The sequence below is a fragment of the Homo sapiens genome, chromosome 1 (assembly GCF_000001405.40).
Source record: "Homo sapiens chromosome 1, GRCh38.p14 Primary Assembly".
In the NCBI taxonomy this organism is placed as follows: domain Eukaryota; kingdom Metazoa; phylum Chordata; class Mammalia; order Primates; family Hominidae; genus Homo; species Homo sapiens.
In genome coordinates, this window is record NC_000001.11 from 38,039,929 (window position 1) to 38,056,994 (window position 17,066).

At 54.6% G+C, this 17,066-nt stretch overlaps 1 protein-coding gene and 1 long non-coding RNA gene across 3 annotated transcripts in view, besides 5 other annotated features; one reads left to right on the forward strand and one right to left on the reverse strand.

The window, feature by feature from the left end:
* Positions 1 to 3,900: 3,900 nt before the first annotated feature.
* Positions 3,901 to 6,865, reverse strand: POU3F1 (POU class 3 homeobox 1). The gene has a single exon (NM_002699.4). The coding sequence runs from the start codon at positions 6,813 to 6,815 to the stop codon at positions 5,460 to 5,462; it is 1,356 nt and encodes a 451-aa protein (NP_002690.3). The 5' UTR covers positions 6,816 to 6,865; the 3' UTR covers positions 3,901 to 5,459.
* Positions 6,926 to 7,255: a silencer, noted in NCBI's record as "silent region_686". NCBI's record gives its function as "represses an Ori minimal core promoter by ATAC-STARR-seq in GM12878 lymphoblastoid cells {active_cell/tissue: GM12878}" and the evidence as "EXISTENCE:reporter gene assay evidence [ECO:0000049][PMID:35858748]".
* Positions 6,926 to 7,668: a biological region, named in NCBI's record as "H3K4me1 hESC enhancer GRCh37_chr1:38512768-38513268".
* Positions 7,168 to 7,668: an enhancer, noted in NCBI's record as "H3K4me1 hESC enhancer chr1:38512768-38513268 (GRCh37/hg19 assembly coordinates)". NCBI's record gives its function as "activates a minimal SCP1, AML or CMV promoter by ChIP-STARR-seq in naive H9 embryonic stem cells {active_cell/tissue: H9 hESC(naive)}" and the evidence as "EXISTENCE:reporter gene assay evidence [ECO:0000049][PMID:30033119]".
* Positions 7,206 to 17,066, forward strand: part of MIR3659HG (MIR3659 host gene) — a 72,397-nt gene continuing 62,536 nt past the window's right edge. Inside the window, exons 1-2 of one of the 2 annotated variants that reach the window (NR_168387.1) lie at positions 7,206 to 7,686; positions 15,581 to 15,691. This is a non-coding gene — a long non-coding RNA (MIR3659 host gene). Of the gene's footprint in view, positions 7,687 to 15,580; positions 15,692 to 17,066 lie in introns of those variants that run through there. The other variant, NR_168386.1, reaches the window with a different exon arrangement.
* Positions 7,669 to 8,169: an enhancer, noted in NCBI's record as "H3K4me1 hESC enhancer chr1:38513269-38513769 (GRCh37/hg19 assembly coordinates)". NCBI's record gives its function as "activates a minimal SCP1, AML or CMV promoter by ChIP-STARR-seq in naive H9 embryonic stem cells {active_cell/tissue: H9 hESC(naive)}" and the evidence as "EXISTENCE:reporter gene assay evidence [ECO:0000049][PMID:30033119]".
* Positions 13,441 to 13,500: a silencer, noted in NCBI's record as "silent region_687". NCBI's record gives its function as "represses an Ori minimal core promoter by ATAC-STARR-seq in GM12878 lymphoblastoid cells {active_cell/tissue: GM12878}" and the evidence as "EXISTENCE:reporter gene assay evidence [ECO:0000049][PMID:35858748]".

The window sequence follows — 17,066 nt, forward strand, 5'->3', positions numbered from 1 at the left end:
ATACACGCATATGTATGTGTGGGGGTGTGTGTTTAAAAAATAAGATCACACATACATACAAACACACAGCCTAACTTTAATTATCTGAAAGGAGCCGGAAGAGATCTGGGAGGAGCTGGGACAATGATGGACAGGAATGTGTTTGGAAAGCAGTTTAGGGGCAAGTGCTTGGAAATCCTGAGAGAAGGGGACCAGGTCAAATGTTGCAAAGGATGGCCGTGTGTGCTTAATCAAATATTACATGTGCCAGGTACTCAGTGACTCTCAAGAGCTTAGTGCCAAAGACCAGAAAGCTAGTCTTAGACTGCCCAAACTGTGGTGTGGGTGTGACCATGGGTGTCTTAGCATGCGTGTGAGTGAGCAAGGTGGTGAGAGCCTGGATTGGGGTTTTAACTGGTTGAGGGGAGGAGTGATGGGGATGGGGATGAGTGGAGAGAGAGAGAGAGGAGGTGGTGTATGATCGTGGGTTTCTGAGAGTGGCTGTGTGAATGGGCAGGGTGGAAGATGAGAGGGAAGGGTCATGGATTAGTGTGTGTGTGTATGTATGTGTGTGTGTGTGTGTGTGTGTGTGTGAGAGAGAGAGAGAGAGAGAGAGAGAGAGAGGCAGGCTTGCTTCTTTTGGAGGCTAAAGTTGCCTCTGCTCTAACTGGCAGTCCTCCTCGAACAGCCCACTTGAAGCTGACTTTTTAAGGGCATGCTTAGGTTCAAGGTGGCTCTGGTAACTGCTACCAGGTCCCAGTTCAGGGACCAATAGAGGGCAGTCCTCCCACATGGAGGCCTCAAGAGGCAGCAAGGGGAGCCCTAAATGGCCAAACACCATTTCAACTCCAGAGCCTTCAAATGTGACAGGCAGGGACAAAACGGATGGCTCCTCCAGCTACCTCTGGTCTCAGTCTCTGAGCCAGAGGCCCTGGGTAGATCATCTTGGCTGAGCTTAGGAGAGTAACTAGGCCTGATAACCAGTCTCCTCTCACTCCACCCTCTGCTTAGGTGGGTCTCCTTTTTGGAGCTGAAGCCCTGCTAGGGAAAGTTCCAGGGAGGGAGGCAGCCCGGCCCTGGATGTGTCATTGGAGGCCCAGAGCCTCTCCAGGGGAGGATGAGTTCTAAACGGCTCTAAGTGGGCACCTGCGATTGGGGGTCAGTTAGTCCTATGGACATCCAGTCAAGTCCTAAGGTCAAGGGATGATTGCATAGGACCTAAGGCATGCAACATATAAATTAGTGCAACCTTCTGGGCAGTAGGTGGGGGAGAATATAATGTCGTCACGCCTCAAGGCAGGATACCTTCTGGGTTTGCCTTGATGACCGCAGGTGACTAAGATGACCATTTTCCTTCCTTTTGGTATTGGCCAACCTCCATTCTACAAATATTCTTCCTGCTGAAAGCATTAGCAGTGTAGCCTGGGTTTTCTTTTCCCTCTCCTACCTCTGGGATTGGCTGTGGCTTTGCACACACAACAGCATACACACAAATTCTTACACCAACTTGCAGAGGTTCACATGGGGAGAGAGTTCTAACTACCATAATCTGTGGCCACATCAACATAAACAATAATTTTGTTCAAGTGAGATGCGGAAGGAGATGGGATCAGAAAATTCCCAATATGCTAGGGAAAGCTTGGACTTCCTTGGAGGTTGATGCTAGGGACACATACCTCTCCTGAACAAAAGGAAGTCTGAGGCTCTCAGGCACAAGCAGGTAGATATACATACCCTTGGGACGGAGAGACTGCATCAAGCCCACAGTTGGCTGTGCTTGTCCTAACTCTATTCTATCCAGGGAAAAAGATTTCTCTTTCCTATAAAGTGCTGAGATTCCTACCATGTAGGGGCCTTCTGCGACCAAGGGGTTGATCACCAGGTAGCTATCTCATGCTGGTATCTCATTAAGCCAGATCCTTGCAAAGTAAAAGATTTTCTTCCATCCCTTTTTCCACTTTTTTTTTTTCTCATTTTTTTTTGTTCTACTCCTCAGCTGCTGCTGGTTCTTGGGAGGCTGCTTTGTTTTGCTATTTTTGAGTTGACTTGCTTAAATAATAAACCCACCCTCTTGTAGAGGATTAAGCAGACAATTAGGAAATCAATCAATCAATTGGTGTCAGCTGCAGGCAGAGGCCGGTGAAAGGCCTCATCTTCCCGGTGGCCCTTTCCAACCTCAAAACCTGCTGAGGCTCTGGGCCGCGCAGGCGGCGGGAGCTCTCAGCTTCATTTGCTTCCATTTCAGAGCCTTGAGGCTGGGACAAATCCAGGAATGGAGAAATGAGGGAGCAGGGAGGAGTGTGTGGCGGCTTCAAAGTTTTGTTCTTGGTGGAGTAGGAAATGAGAGGCTGAGGCAGGGTGGTCAGTGGCTCCTGGCTATGCCATTGCCCAGCTGGCCGGTATGTTGCCAGCTTCCTCTTTAGGAAACATGGGAGGGAAGGCTGCCTGGCCCACCAGTGTGGGGAACGGCTGGGACACAGGTGCCAATTACAGGGCTATTCACTCACCTGGCTGGACTGAGCTGAGGAGGAGAAGAAAAAAGGAGCAGGGAGTGAGGGGCTGGGCCTCTAGAAGCCGAGGCAGCCTTTGTACTTGCAGAGACAATTCCCCCCAAGAGTGAGGGCCGAGCGCAGAAAGTCGCCAGGAACTCTCAGCATGGCACAGTCATCCCGAGGCCCTAGCCCCGCCGGGGAGCACCAACTTGGGGCCCTGGGGACACCTCTCTGGACATCCCTGACACCGTCAGCTAGAGCCCAGGCCTCTCACAGGCCTGGACTTGGGCCGCTTCCCTGGCAGGAGGGGCCCCACACGCCCCCTCACTAGGGTCAGCTTTCTCCCCAGCTAAGAGATTGTGCCTTCAAGCTTTGGCTTCACAAAGAGTGAGAGAAACCGCATGTGGCTTCTCCTGAGAGGGGAAAAGAACTGCGTCTACGGAGGAAGCAGGAAGAGCTCTTTTATCAGTATTTTTAAGAAGGGTTGTTTTAAAGGAGAAAATAAGGTCTTGACTGGAACCCAGGTAGTCTGGAGCTCTGCGTCGGGAACCAGATCTGCCCCCAGATACCCTGACTCACTCCAGAAGACAGCATCTGAGGTCTGTGCTCTCCTTCCTATCACTCCCTGCAGTGGTGGCGGTGATGAGGGTCTTGGGTACCCAACCTTGGAAAGAAGATATCAGGTCTTTCTGATGGCACAGTTACCCGTGCCTCCACTTCTCCCCAACAGAAGCTGGGGCAGCGGTTTGTTTGCAGAGACATAAGACCGGCTTTGCCCAAGCAAATTGGCAGGGCTCCCTCCCTAGGCTGACCCAGCTCACGTAGGACCATGAAAGCCACGTCTGTCTAAGCTGTTAGAACTCCCAGTGCATCCAGGGGGGCTTGGGCACCATTTGAGTTTGGGTGGAGAGCCTGCTGGAGTAGGATGGTGGGGCCTCACCAGGCTTCCAGGTGCCCTAGGACTGGGAATGGTAAAGTTGGCTCAGACCTCTCATATAGAGTGCAAGGTGAAATGAAAGTTGGGGGTTGAGGTGTCAGGTGGGGGATTATAGATTCTAGGCTGGTGACCCAGGCCGAGGTGGGCTTCTTTCTTGGTGGAGAAGAGCAGTCGAGTTGTGCATGAACAATGGCTGATCCGAATTCCATGTGGTGTCTTTGGCTCACTGTCCCGGGCCCTGGTTTGGTCTAGGAGAGTCTGTCTACGACAGGGGGACACGAGGCAGCTTCATCTTCCCTAAACTGATGCATCTGAGGCAGGGGCCCAACTGTTGCCCATGTCCTGATATCCACCTGGAAGGTCTGCAGGGTCATCTTCCTCCAAGATCTCTCCTGGTGAGATCAGAACTTCAGGGAGGTGAAGCAGGGGATCCCATCGCTTCACCCCAAAAACCCACCCAGCCCTAGCAGTAAAAAGGACAGGACACAGCCCTGGGGTACATGTTTATGTGAGTAATAAAATATTTACTATAACATAAATATAAAGGGAACTTCCCAGTCTACATTATTTTTTTTTCAATAAAGATACAAAGAGAATGCACCGAAACATTGTTTCAAAAAATAATAAAAATAAAATAACAAAATTTAAATTCAAACCTTAACAAACAGAAGAAGAAACGGAGAAGGGGGAAGCTCCAAACACATCCAGAAAATAAATAGAGATGGGTCAGAAATTCGGAAATCATATTAAAATATCTTTTTCGGATTAGTCAGTGTACAAAATCCTTTAGGGTAGGAAGGAAGGGTAACCCGGAAAACCAAAAATAAAAACCAAGCACAAAATGTTTCTTCTCCCCGCCAGTGTGTACATATCTCACATATTTACATGGTTCCCACCTCACCCCAAACTTGGGGAATTTCTCTCCCGGCCTCCCCTGGCATCCCGCATCCCGGCGGGCTGGAAAGGGAGCAGAGGGAAGCTGCAGGGAATCAGGCGGAGGGTTCTCAGGGAACGGCTTATTTCTACAGCTGGTTAAAAAACAATCTCTCTAACTTTTCCAAGTTTCGTTTGGTGTGGCCAGGAGGGCAGGGCCCCGCGGGGAGCAGGGGCCGCGCTATGCGGCGGTCGGTCTGCAGCAGGGCAGAAGCCCCTTCCCGTCTGGGTGTGTGGGAGCGCAGACCCCTCCGGCGTGGCCGGGAACCAAGCCGGGGCTCGGATGAAACGAAACGAAAAATGAACACTCGAATTTTTTTTGTTAGTTTTTTTTTTTTTTTTTTGCTTTTTTTTGGGGGGAGGGTAGGGTAGGGAAATATAAGGGGAAAAATAAATTAGGCTAGATTAAAGCTTTGGCTATTTCCTGCTTTTATACACAGACGCGGCTCTCGCGACCTCCCCTCCGGGGCCCCGATAAATACAGTATACTGCGATTTAAATTAAGGGCGCGGGCGGAGTTAGAAGGACCCCAGGAGCCGAGAGGCTCCACGAATAAATAAAAACCGTAAAAAACCAAGCCCGGAGAAAGGGGAAAGCGGGGTGGGGCGCATCCTTATAGGAGAGAAGAGGCGTGTAGCGAATAAAGTGACAGCCCCCCACCCTGGACCCGCAGGCTCAGGAGTCCACGCGGGGAGAGGGGATGGAGAACTCTCCTCGCTTCGTCCTCTCTCCCGGGGAATCCCTAACCCCGCACTGCGTTACCTGTCGCTTTGGGGAGGCCGCTGCCGGGATCCGGCCCCGAACAGCCCGGGGGGGCAGGGGCGGGGGTCGTCGAGGGGATGGGGGCAGAGAGCAGGCGGCGGGCAGGATGCCCGGGGTGAGTTGGCGAGTTCCGGATCTTCGCTCCTCTCTCCCGGGGCTCGGGCGACGCAGCCTACCGGGCTGTCTTCGCCGCTCACCGGAGAGGGTCGTCCGGGTGTTTGGTTTTGTTCGAAAGTTTCTGGGCTTTTTTTTTTTTTTGTAAAATCCAAAGCAACCGAACAAAAAGAGTCCAGGCCGCGCGGGCGGGCTGCGCGCCCGCGCCCTGCAGCGCGCCGGCGGGGGCCCGGCCCGCGGGGTCACTGCACTGAGCCGGGCAGTGTGTGGTGGTGGTGGTGGTGCAGCGCCGCCGGCGGGGGCGGTGGGGGCGCGGAGGGTGGCGATGCGCCGCCCCCGCCAGGCCCTAGCTCCCCAGGCGCGTATACATCGTCCATGGGCGGGTGGCCCGCGCCGGCCGCAGGGGTCATGCGCTTCTCCTTCTGCCGCCGGTTGCAGAACCAGACGCGCACCACCTCCTTCTCCAGCTGCAGGCTGTCTGCCAAGCCGGTGATCTCGTGCGCCGAGGGCTTGGGGCACTTGAGAAAGTGGCTCTCGAGCGCGCCTTTGACCCCCACCTCGATGGACGTGCGCTTCTTGCGCTTGCGGCCCTGCGCCGCGATCTTGTCCAGGTTGGTGGGGCTGCCGCTGGACGAGTCGGTCTCCTCCAGCCACTTGTTGAGCAGCGGCTTGAGCTTGCACATGTTCTTGAAGCTCAGCTGCAGGGCCTCGAAGCGGCAGATGGTGGTCTGCGAGAACACGTTACCGTAGAGCGTGCCCAGCGCCAGCCCCACGTCGGCCTGCGTAAAGCCCAGCTTGATGCGCCGCTGCTTGAACTGCTTGGCGAACTGCTCCAGGTCGTCCGAGCTGGGCGCATCCTCGTCCGAGTGCTCGCCCACCGATGAGCCGCCGCCGCCCGCGCCCGGGTGCAGGTGCGCCGCCGCCGCGTGCAGGCCGCCCGCGTGTGCATGTCCGTGTGCGTGTCCGTGGGCGCCCAGATGCGGCGGCGGCGACGGCTCCAGCTGCGCCTCGTGGCCATCCTCGTGCAGCGCGTGGTGCAGGCCCGGCCCCGCGCCGCCACCGCCCGCCGCCAGCATCCCGGCCAGGCCGCCGCCGCCGCCCCCCGGGTAGGCCGCCTGCGCGTACAGCCCGAGCGGCTGGGGCTGGTGGCCCCCGCTGGCCCCGGGCGAGGGCGACATGGCCGGGCCCAAGTGGTGCGCTGTGCTGCCCTGCGCCCATGCCGCGCCCGCGTGGGCCGCCCCCTGGTGCACCAGGCGCGCGTGGAAACCTCCGCCGCCGCCGCCGTCGTCGGCTCGGCCGGTGCCGCCGCCGCCTGCCTTGCCGTGTTCTAGGTGCGGGCCGCCGGCCCAATCGCCGCCGCCGCCTCCTCCCGTGGGTAGCCACTGGGGGTGCGCTAGGCCCACGGGGTGGCCCGCGCCCGCGCCCAGCCACTCGTGGTGCATCAGCTTCTGCACTTCGCGGTACGCGGCCCCTGCATGCAATCGCTCCGCGGCCGCCGCCGCCGCCGCCGCCGCCGCGGCGTCCGGGTGCATAAGCGGCCCGGTGCCCCCGGCTCCGCCACCGGGGCCCCGCGGCAGGTACTGCGCGGTGGTGGCCATGCCGCCCCGCGCCCTGCGCCGCGCCGCCGCCGCCGCTCCGCTCCGTCTGCGGGCCCCGCCGCCTCGCTCCGCCGGCTTAAAGCCCCGACCCGCTCGGCGCTCCGGAGCCCCACCCCGCCCGCCGCCCATTGGCTGCCCGCGGAGCTGCCTCCCGCCTCCCCTGCCCGGCCCCCGCCCCGCGCGCCCGCCCGCCACCCTGCCCGGCCGCCCAGAGCTCTCCATTGGGCGTCGCTCCCGGGGTCCCGCGCGCCGGCCGTGCTGATTGGCCGCTGGGGCTTCATTCACGGCCCCCCTACCGTCCGCGTACACACTCACGCCCCGGGGGCGCGGCCGCCACGTGGGGAGTGGCGCGGGGGTGGCCCTGGGACCGCACCCCCTCTCGTCCTGGCTGTGTGGGCCCCGCTTTCCCCCAGCGCTGGAGACTCCGAGCCCGGCCGGTCCCACATTCCACGCGAGCTGAATTCCCGCCCGCATCCCGCCCGGGCAGCAGGGATTGCCGGCTCCGGGAGGCGCTCGGGCTCCGAGAAGCGGCTCAGCCCCGCGCCCCTCCCTCCTCAGTACCGCTGCCGGCGGACCAGGATTCCCGCGGGTCCTGGCGGCTGCGAGCGCGAGGCGGCGCGGATTCGCGGCTCGGTTCCGGCGCGACTGCTCACCGCGCCCGCCTCGCCTCCCGCGGCTGCCAGCGTGCACTGGGCGCTCCTCGGCGCGTCTGCCCGGCCCGTCTCGGCTTTCCTTCTCCTTCCTCTAGTCCCAGCGTCACAACTCCGCCGACCTCCTCTGCCCTGAGAGCGCGTCCGGTGCGGGCGGAGTCGGACGGACTCTGGCTTCACGCCTCGCGCGGGCACACCTTCTCCCGGGCACTGAGGCCCAGGTGAGTACCGCGCGGGCAGCTGGGGCTGGGACGGCGGGCGGCAGCGGTTCTACAGTCCTACGCGAGCCCCTGGTACCCGGCCGCGCTCCGGGGTTCCAGAAGGAGAAGATCTCGAGGTGGAGACTGTGGCTCCGGGGAAAACGCTGCTGGCAAGGGCGCTAGTTGGGGGTGGACGTTGGGCCCAGGGGTATCTGACCTGCGCCGCTGCAGCCTTCTCGCTCCTTCTCCCAGCTTGAACGGCTCATCGGCTGTGGTCGTGGTGGGATCACGCCCCGGGAGAGGAGAAGGATGGGCTCAGGGAAGGGGCTCGGGCTCTCCAGAAATCCGGCGTGCAGGCCGGGAGCTGTCCAGCCTCGCTAAGAGCCCTGGGCTAGAGTTTGCCCGGACTTGCCTGGAGCTGCTGAAAAGGGAATTGAGATTGAGGAGGCCTTGTTGGAAAGGTGGGCAGTGGAATTTAGCTACCTCCTCACGCCCCAGCCCTTGAGGACTCCCTGAAGGATCTTGAGTGGAGTCGGACCTCACTGCAGTTCCTTTGTGCCTTCTTACCCGACCTTGGGCCCCAGGCTGAGGGTACTGAGCTGTGTTTTCTCCTCTTCCCCACACCGAGGCTTGGGTCCCAGGGAGTCTTCAGCTGCCAGTCCTCCCTCTTTTCTCTCCTGGATCTAGCCTCAAGTGGATTTATAGCTTACAGGGCCCTGGGGTCCCAGATCACAGAACTGAGCTGGGGGCCCACCTAGGGCCCCACTGGGCAAATCAGGTCTGTGGAATAAATCCTTAGATTGAAAAAAGTTGCTGGGGGCTCAGGTGGCAGCTGCCATTGGAACGATCCAGGGCGGCTGGGACAGAGTTGACAGTGACAGGGGTCACCCTGGGCACAGACTTTGATCATGTGGGCCCTGAATGCCCTAGGACCAGCCAGGGAAGGAGTGGGACAGAGCAGGGCCCTTATCCTGCCATTGGCCACTGTCCTGAGCAGGCTCCGTGGTCCCACCCTAGCTGTAAGAGCTGCGATGGAGCTCTGTGTCTGAACCGAGCTAGAGATACTGGGCTTTCCTGGACTCTGGCCCAGGGAATGGTCACCTTGAGGCAGCCCAGGTCTTTCACCTTTCCCAGGCCTGGGAGGTAGGAGGAAGACTGGGAATTCCGCAGTGAAGTCCATGCTCGTGCCAGCCCTAACCAGGCCTGTGTGATATTGAAGCTTGGGCTTTCAACCTGGAGCTGCCATCATCTCCCTGGGCAAGAGTAACTCTGGTCTAGCCTTCCTAGCTCTTGGTTTTCCTTCCTGTATGTTGGGAATAACAGTACTATAGGCAGCCCACCTGTCTCACTAAGGTAGGTCAGATAGTTATGTGAGACAACGGGGGTGTAAAGCTCTCAGATAGGTGTTTACTTTGGTCGTTTCCATTGTTGCTGTTCAGTGACAGGCAAGGCATTCCCCCTCTCTAACTAAATCTCAGTTTCTCCACCTGTAGCGTGGGATTGCAGAGGTTTGGACCAGTCGACCTCTCTGGCACTTCTCACTCTCATGGTCTGTGATTCTGTGAATCTGTCTCAGTTCCTGTTGAAGGAAGTCTGGACAGCGGGCAGGTGTTTTGATTTCCAGCCTTTGGAATTGCCACTGAGGCTGGAAGAACAATGACCAACAGGCACGGATTTTTTTTTTTTTTTTAAATTATACTTTAAGTTCTGGGATACATGAACAGAATGTGCAGGTTTGTTACATAGGTATACATACAGGCACAGTGTTTTAGCAAGTACTTTTACCTGTACCTCTCAGCCCTGTGAGAGAGCACTGAGATTATTATCTTCATTGCCTAGATGAGGGACCCAAAATTTGTCCAAGGGCACAGGACCTGTGAGTTTTCACTCATCATTCCCCTCATTACCGTGGGATGGGGGTCTATGGAGGCAGCAGCTTTGGCTGGCACAGCAAAGAGAGCCCTTGGCCCTGTTTCTGGTAGGTCTCAAGGGCAGGCCAGGGCCTGCTGGGGCTCCTGAAACCGTCTTCCCATGTCTGTGCTGAATTGAGGGGCATCAGCAGTAGAGCAGTAGCGAGGCTTCTAGGTTATCAGCTTGTCACCCAGCAAATCAAAGTCCCAATCCCACCATGTCCTTTAGCAGCCCTGTGACTTTGTGTGAGCCACATTGCCTCTTGGAGCCTAAGTTTGTGCATCTTACAGTGAGAACAATAATGCCTGCTTTTCAGGATTGCTCTGAGGCTCCACAGATGAAATAAGGCATGCAATTTAGGTGCCCTTTAAATGTTAGATGCTGGCCTGGGCTGGAAAGCAGTTTGAAGCAGGAAAGATATAATTCTTTTCTCTGCTTTGGAAATTTTAGACCTTCTACAGGGATATGGGTTTGGTCTTGAGTCAGAATTTTCTTGTGTTTGAGTTAAGTTTCCCCCAGGAAGTCTTGACATCACTCTTAAGATTCTGTGTGGGACACTAGGGCTGAGACATGGCCACTGGTAGAAACATCTGCAGCTGAGCAACCCCTTTGTCCTGCAGCACCACCTTCTTAGGCCCTGGGGAGAACTCATCCTCAGACCCACAACACGTAGGCAGGGTGTACACACAGAGGTCAGACATCCACGTGACCCATGCAGACACAGAGTGGTGTGGGCATGAGAACAGGTGTGCACACACACACACACACACACACACACACACACAGATACAACCATGCAATTTAGCACAGGACTGAATGTACGGATTCACAATAGGAACACACAAACTTGCACCATTAGGCTGAATATTGATAGTCACACAAAGCAACACCCAGTGGTAAATACAGGCATGTGTCTAAATGGGGAGATACACAGAACCCACACATAGGCTGAAATAGGCTGAAGTAGGCACTGCTTTGCTGACACAGAGATACATGAAACCTAACAGGCTCTTGGGGCCACAAACATGGAGACTCTCAGCTGGTGTGCCGAGTCACACACATAGGCATACCATCATACTCACACACAAGAGCACGTGGAGCCAGCCATGCACACCCTCTCACCCAGATGCACAAAGAGGCTTACCCCACACATCACAGAGACACACAGACATATCTACCCACACCCTGTAAGAAATAACAGATCCGCTCAGGGGATCAGAAAGCAGAGGAAAGGGCTGTGTCCAACCCAGAGTTTGGTCCACATGGTTTGGTTGCAGCGCTAGGCCCAAGGCTTTTCTTTTCATATTTTTTCCCACTCTCCTTTTCTGTGGAGTGCAGCTCCCAGCCAGGCCGCCGCCAGTTTCAGAGTCTCCCGGGCCTCCCTCCCCAGTGGGGCCTCTGCCCAGCCCGCCCCCAGGCAGGAGCTGCTTGGGCTTTCCCAGAGCACAGCAGCCTCCTCCAGGCTCTGGAGTGTGACCGAGCGCCTACTCATTTGACACAGGTCACCGAGCCTCCAGCAGATGGGGCCCTCGCTGTGGGGGGTCTCTGAGCCGGGGGCTGTGGGGGGCTGGGAGTAGGAGGGAGGCTCTGCAGGGATGGACAGGCTACACAAGCTCCAGCTCCTTATACTCTTTCTGCAAAGCCCCGGGTTACAGACGTGGGACCTAGAATACAACTATACTCACGAGTCAGTCGTCATCAGCACCCTGGCGGCCACATACACAGGGCAGTATTCCAGACACACATCCCAGGTGTCAGGGGGCCTAACAATGGCACGCCGAGCACAGCTTTGGGAAGGAGAAAGAGGAAGAGCCTTGCTCAGCGTCTCCTGGAGGCAGCTGGGTCTGGCTGCTTTCCCCCTTTGGTCTCTGAGCCCCCGAGCTCTCTTCTGTGAGTTGGTCAGTTGGTTAGGAGTCCAGGATGGGTTGAGAGCAGATGCAGTTTCAGACCTCAGGCCTTTTCAGTGCTGGGGGAAGACAGGCTCCAGGATGCTCCACCTGGATTCCTCACAAGTCAGGAATGCTAAGAGATGAAGAGGAGAGATGGGGCCCATGGGAAGTGCTGCCGGACAGGCTGTGTATCTTAGGATGCCTCCCGCATGCATGGACTTTGAGTCTTTGAGGCTGGCTGGACCGGGGCAGCACTCGCGGGCCACTTCCTTTCCCTCCTGGCAGTCTCCTTATGCCCTGGATCTTGCCTTTTCAGAGTGGCCTGGCTTGGCAGTAAAGGGTCCTGGGTTCCATCTTGGCCCTGACTCAGGCCTCATTTTGGGCCAGTGTCAGCCTCCTAACCCTCTGTATCCTCATCTGAAAGTTGGGCAATATGGTCTCTGTTGGCTGCTTGAGAAGATGGGGGTGAGATCACTGCTTGAAGAAAACTTGGAAAGGGAAAGTGTGGCTTGATTTCCCTCCCTGGCCGGCCATCTGGGGTGGGTAAGAGGCTGTGTGAGCAGGCGTGGAACCTGCCTGCTCCCCTAACCAGTTCTTGCTAAAGAGTGTCAGGAGGGACCACGCCCACTGGGGCTTGCTGCCCGCGCATTCTGAGCTGCAATGTGGTTTTGACTGGAAGAGTCTGGCAGGGTCCTAGCTGTCATAAATTCCCAGTCTTAGGAGGGTGCCAGGGTCATCTTATTGATCCACTGCCTTGGCGAGGGTGGGTGCCATCTAGACAGATTTGTAGTGCTTGCCACCATCCTAAAGCTCTCCCCGCATAGGATGAGCTCACCCTTCTGAGCCCTCAAAGCCCCTACGTCTCTCCCTCTAAGCTCAGCCCCTTCAGGTGTCCAGTTCTTCTGTCCTTCCTGTAATCTTTAGAGCCCAAGGCAGAAGAGAGGAGTAGTAGTAGGGCCGTCGCTGCCTTTGGCAGAAGAGAAAGGAGCGATCTAACTTATTTAATCTCAGGTCTTGGTGAAGGGAAGGAGGGACAGAAGGTGAAATATCTCTTTGGGAAGAATCTTTCCTTGTATTTTTGTTTTCCTGCCTCAGCCCCTAGGCTGTGGGTGTGGGTAGGGGTCCTCCCAGAGTGTCAGTAGAATATTCAAATTAGGGGTGGTCAATTGCTCTTGAAATTTACTTTCATTTTTAGCAGAATGTCAGCCTTTGAGCTGGTGTTAATGCCCACAATCCGGTTATGCAGAACACGCTCTCTGCAAATCGGTAAATCATTAGTGGGGATTAATCAACTCTGAAAGGCTGGGGCTAGGCTTTAGTTTCTTTCTTTCTTTCTTTCTTTTTTTTAAAACATACTTTTTATCCGGATGGCTGCAAAATTCACCATCACAGGATAGGGTGGGAGCAGGGGATGATAATTTAAGTCCTTGTCACCATCATTAGAAAAGTGAGATACCTTTCTGGGCCTTGGGTTGACTTTGTAGTCCAATTGAAGGGTGGGAGTAGGCAGTTTGGGTGGGGTGGGAGGAAGGGAGGGCAGTTCCCTTGTGATTATATGTGTTATGATGTTTATAATAGTGTGTAGGTGGCTTGGTGTGCTTGTATATATGGTGACTTTATGTTAGCATGCTTGCATGAATTCATACGTTTCTACTTTAGAGATGCCCATTTATGTGCTTGTGTTAGGGTGCTTTTGCTTGGTTTGTATTAGTGTCAGACACTTGGTTTGTAATTGTGTCAGACAGTACTTCCGTTTGAGAGTGTTTTGGGATACTGTTTTATTGTGTGTGTGAGTACTTCCCCTCTGGTGGGAGACCACATCTCACCCTCCTCAGCCTCAGGGTAGCTCCCTAGGGGAGGAAGGTAGAACAGGAGGGCAGTCCCAACCAGCACCTGCTGGGGGGGTGTGGCTCAAGGTTGATTTGCATATTCATGAGCTAGCTGCCTGGTGGCTTGGGGAGCTCTCCTCTTGAAGAGACTCAGTCTGAGCCCAAGTGGGAGACCTCTTAGGGCAGATAGGGAGGTCAGGCTCTCACTGTTAACACCTCTTACTCCCCAGTCTCAGGTATAGTGGCTGCCTCCACCCCATGGCTCAGGAACCTCCAAAACCCGCAGTTCCTGAAACCTGACCTCTGCATAGCCACAGTACACATAATTCTAGCTTCCAATAGGGATAAGAGTGATGTGGCCGCTCCTATCAGGAAGCTGTCAGTTCCTGGACGCTCCTGTGGGGGATCTTGGGGAAGGAAGCTTATTCTTCCAGCCAGGATCAAGCTGATAAATGGGACCATCTCCCCATTCTCTGTTCACACTGGATCAGCCTCCTTATTCCTCTCCTTCTCCCTAGCTTAATGCAGCCCAGCTTTGGAGTAGTAATTACCTTCACATGACCCAGTAATCATATTCCCTGGGTGTTGAGCAGAGCATGTGTGTACGGGGATGAGGTCACAGGACTTTCCCTTCCCCTCTAGTCACAGAGTGTGAGGTTTGAGGTGGGATTTAATGGGCCTGGTCCTTACATCAACCCACATTTTCCTCTAACCACCCCCACCTCCCTCTCCCAATATAGGGTCAGCTTGGCTAGCCTGGGCATCACCGTTTGCTACTCCCCAGATGGCACAGGTGCCCTGTACTCCTGTACATGTGCCTCGTTCATCATCCCACTGTATGTCTCCCCACGCCTCCAATGTAGTAGTCTAGCTTGTAGTCAGGGGGAAGAATGGAATGATACAACTACTTGGCTTTTGCAAGGTGGGAAGGTCTGGGGAGAGTTGTCTGGGCTCATTGCTGACCTTTCTCAGCTTTCTTGGGGGGTAGCAGGTGGAGGGTGGAAGTGGTGAAGGAGGATTTAGGAATTATATTTTCCCAGGGACCTCTCAGCATCTTTATATATCTCTCGTGGCAGACATCTGTCTGAGCTTAGGGTAGCATCTGCCTAGGCTAGGGACAACATCTGTTTGAGGCTGGGACACCTGGCTGAGCCCAGCACATTATCTGGCCCTGGGACAGCTTCTGTCTGAGCTCAGGACATGTGTTTGAACCTGGCACAACATCTGTCTGGGCCTGGTACATCATCTTCCTGGCCTGGGGGCAATGTCTGTTTGAGCCCTGGATGTGTGTTTAACTTGGGGACGTCTGCTGGGCCTGGAACAATACCTGTCTGAGCCTGGGGATGGACTTGTCATTGCAGATAAAATCACCCCTGAGCCTCAACTTTGGTTTGTGGCTGAACACAGAGTGTGTGCAGGGCTCATGTCCCTGTTCTCCTTTCTACCGAGGAACGGGATCTTAGGTGGAATGCCTCAGTTTACCTTCAATTGTAGGTCCATTGGCCTGGTTGCTCTGGGTACCTCGAGCACTGGACAAAGCCTACAACCCCAGTGGCTCTGGGAAACCAAAGTCAAAAGAACGCATGAGGGGATCGATAGGTTATAAAATCCAGTGACCGGTCTAGGATGATTCTCCCTTTCTCCAATCCCTCATCTAGGTACTTGAGTCAGGTCACAGTGTTCCCACTAAGACACAATTTGGACATGTCACTTTGCACTTGGCTCCTGAGAACCCTTCTATTTATTTATTTATTTATTTATTTATTTATTTATTTATTTATTTTTTGAGACAGAGTCTCACGCTGTTGCCCAGGCTGGAGTGCAGTGGTGCAATCTTGGCTCACTGCAACCTCCGCCTCCCGGGTTCAAGCTATTCTCCTGCCTCAGCCTCCCGGGTAGCTGGGACTACAGGCACCCACCACCACACCTGGCTAATTTTCCTGAGAACACTTCTATTGCTCCCTGTTATGTACATCATCAGGCCCAAAGTCCCTGGTAATCCTGTCTCTGCTGACCCTCTGAATCCAGCAACACTGAGCTCTGTTCCTGCAAACACACGGGGCCCTCCGAGACCCCTTATCTCCACACACATGGTTCCCTCTCCTGGGAATGTCCACCATCTCTGCTTTACATTCTTCAAATCCCAGCACAAGGGTCACCAGCCCTGGGAAGTTTTCCCCTCTAGACTAAGCCACAGCCTCTGTCCTGCTTCCACAGTCCATTTGTGCATTAGCATTTACAGGCCTATATTGTCATTAATTCTTTGTGTGTCTGTCTCTCCCATAGGACTGTGAGCTCTGGGGCTCCGGGACTGGATCTGCTTCACCTCTATCCCCCAGCACCCAGCTCAATTCCCGGTCTATAGTACTCACCAATAAAGAATGCCTGTTGAATGACCATAGGTTGTGCCCCTGTGATCTCATTTCCTTCTTTTTTAAAAATGAGGGCTTAGAGGGATACTGTAGACACTGGTTTGCAGTCTCAGAAGAAGTGGGCTTCAGAGAAGAGGGCATGTCTTTTTCATACCTGGTTGGTTGACTGTAGCCAAAAGCGCTGGGTAATGGACCCAGAGTGCCCTGGACAAGAGCCTGGTGGAGGCTTGTCCTGCCCAAGGTTCTTTATCGGTGAAGTGAAGTGAAGGTCAGGGGGCAGCAATGAATCCAGACATAATAGCCTCTCTGTGGGCTGCAGGGATGGGACTAAGTCTAATAAGGAGGACTGTGTCGGGCAAATGTCAGGACCTTGACCTGGGACCAAACCCAACTCCTTGGGGGCAGGTGGGAGAATAGAGGCCTGGCTCAGCACGAATGGAGAAGTTACAGGGTTCCTAGGTATGCTCGTCTTGCCAGAGAGAGAAAGTCACAAAAAGTTTTATCAATATCAACGTTGTATCCAGAGCAAGGTGCTCTCACTGGTCAGGACACCCTGGCACCTGGCCAGCTTCAGAGGGACATGGATCCCTAGGAATGTGTATGGGGAGAAAGGCCAGAATAGGGGGGCATGTGGAACCATGAAGAGGTAGCTGAGAAGTGAATGTTCCGAGGACATGGTCTCTGCTTTTGTGTCTTTTATTCCACCAAATAGGAATATCTTTATGTTTTTGCTGATGATAAAAACAATACAAGCTCATTTGTAAACACTAGAAAAGTAGTATACAAAATAGAAAATGGAAGTCCTCCATCAGCCTCTCTGCCTCATTCCTCATAACTACTCCTGGTGGCTATATCTTTCCAGACCTTTTTTTTGTGTGGACACACAGTACTTAATAATAGTAGCTTAGGTTTATTGAGGGTTTATGATGTGCAGGTACTGTGCTAAATGCTTCTACCTGAATTTACGCATTGCATCCTCACAAAAACATTATGGGTTAGCTGCAACTATTATTCCCATTTTACAAATGAAGAAACTGAGGCTCAGAGAGTTGAACTCAAACTTGCCAGGGTTATCCAGGTAGTAATCTATATCGTTATCTGTGGATCTATTATGTACAGATATATAGATAGATAGAGATATGAATTCTTTTGGCAGAAGATGGGACCACAGTGCATATAGTGTTTTATAGTGTTTTGTAACTTGTTCTTTTTTGTTGTTGTTGTCGAGACGGAGTGTTGCTCTGCTGCCCAGGGTGGAGTGCAGTGGCGCAATCTTGGCTCACTTCAACCTCCACCTCCTGGATTCAAGCAATTCTCCTGCCTCAGCCTCCCGAGTAGCTGGGATTACAGGTGCCTGCCACCACACCGGCTAATTTTTGTGTTTTTAGTAGAGATAGGAT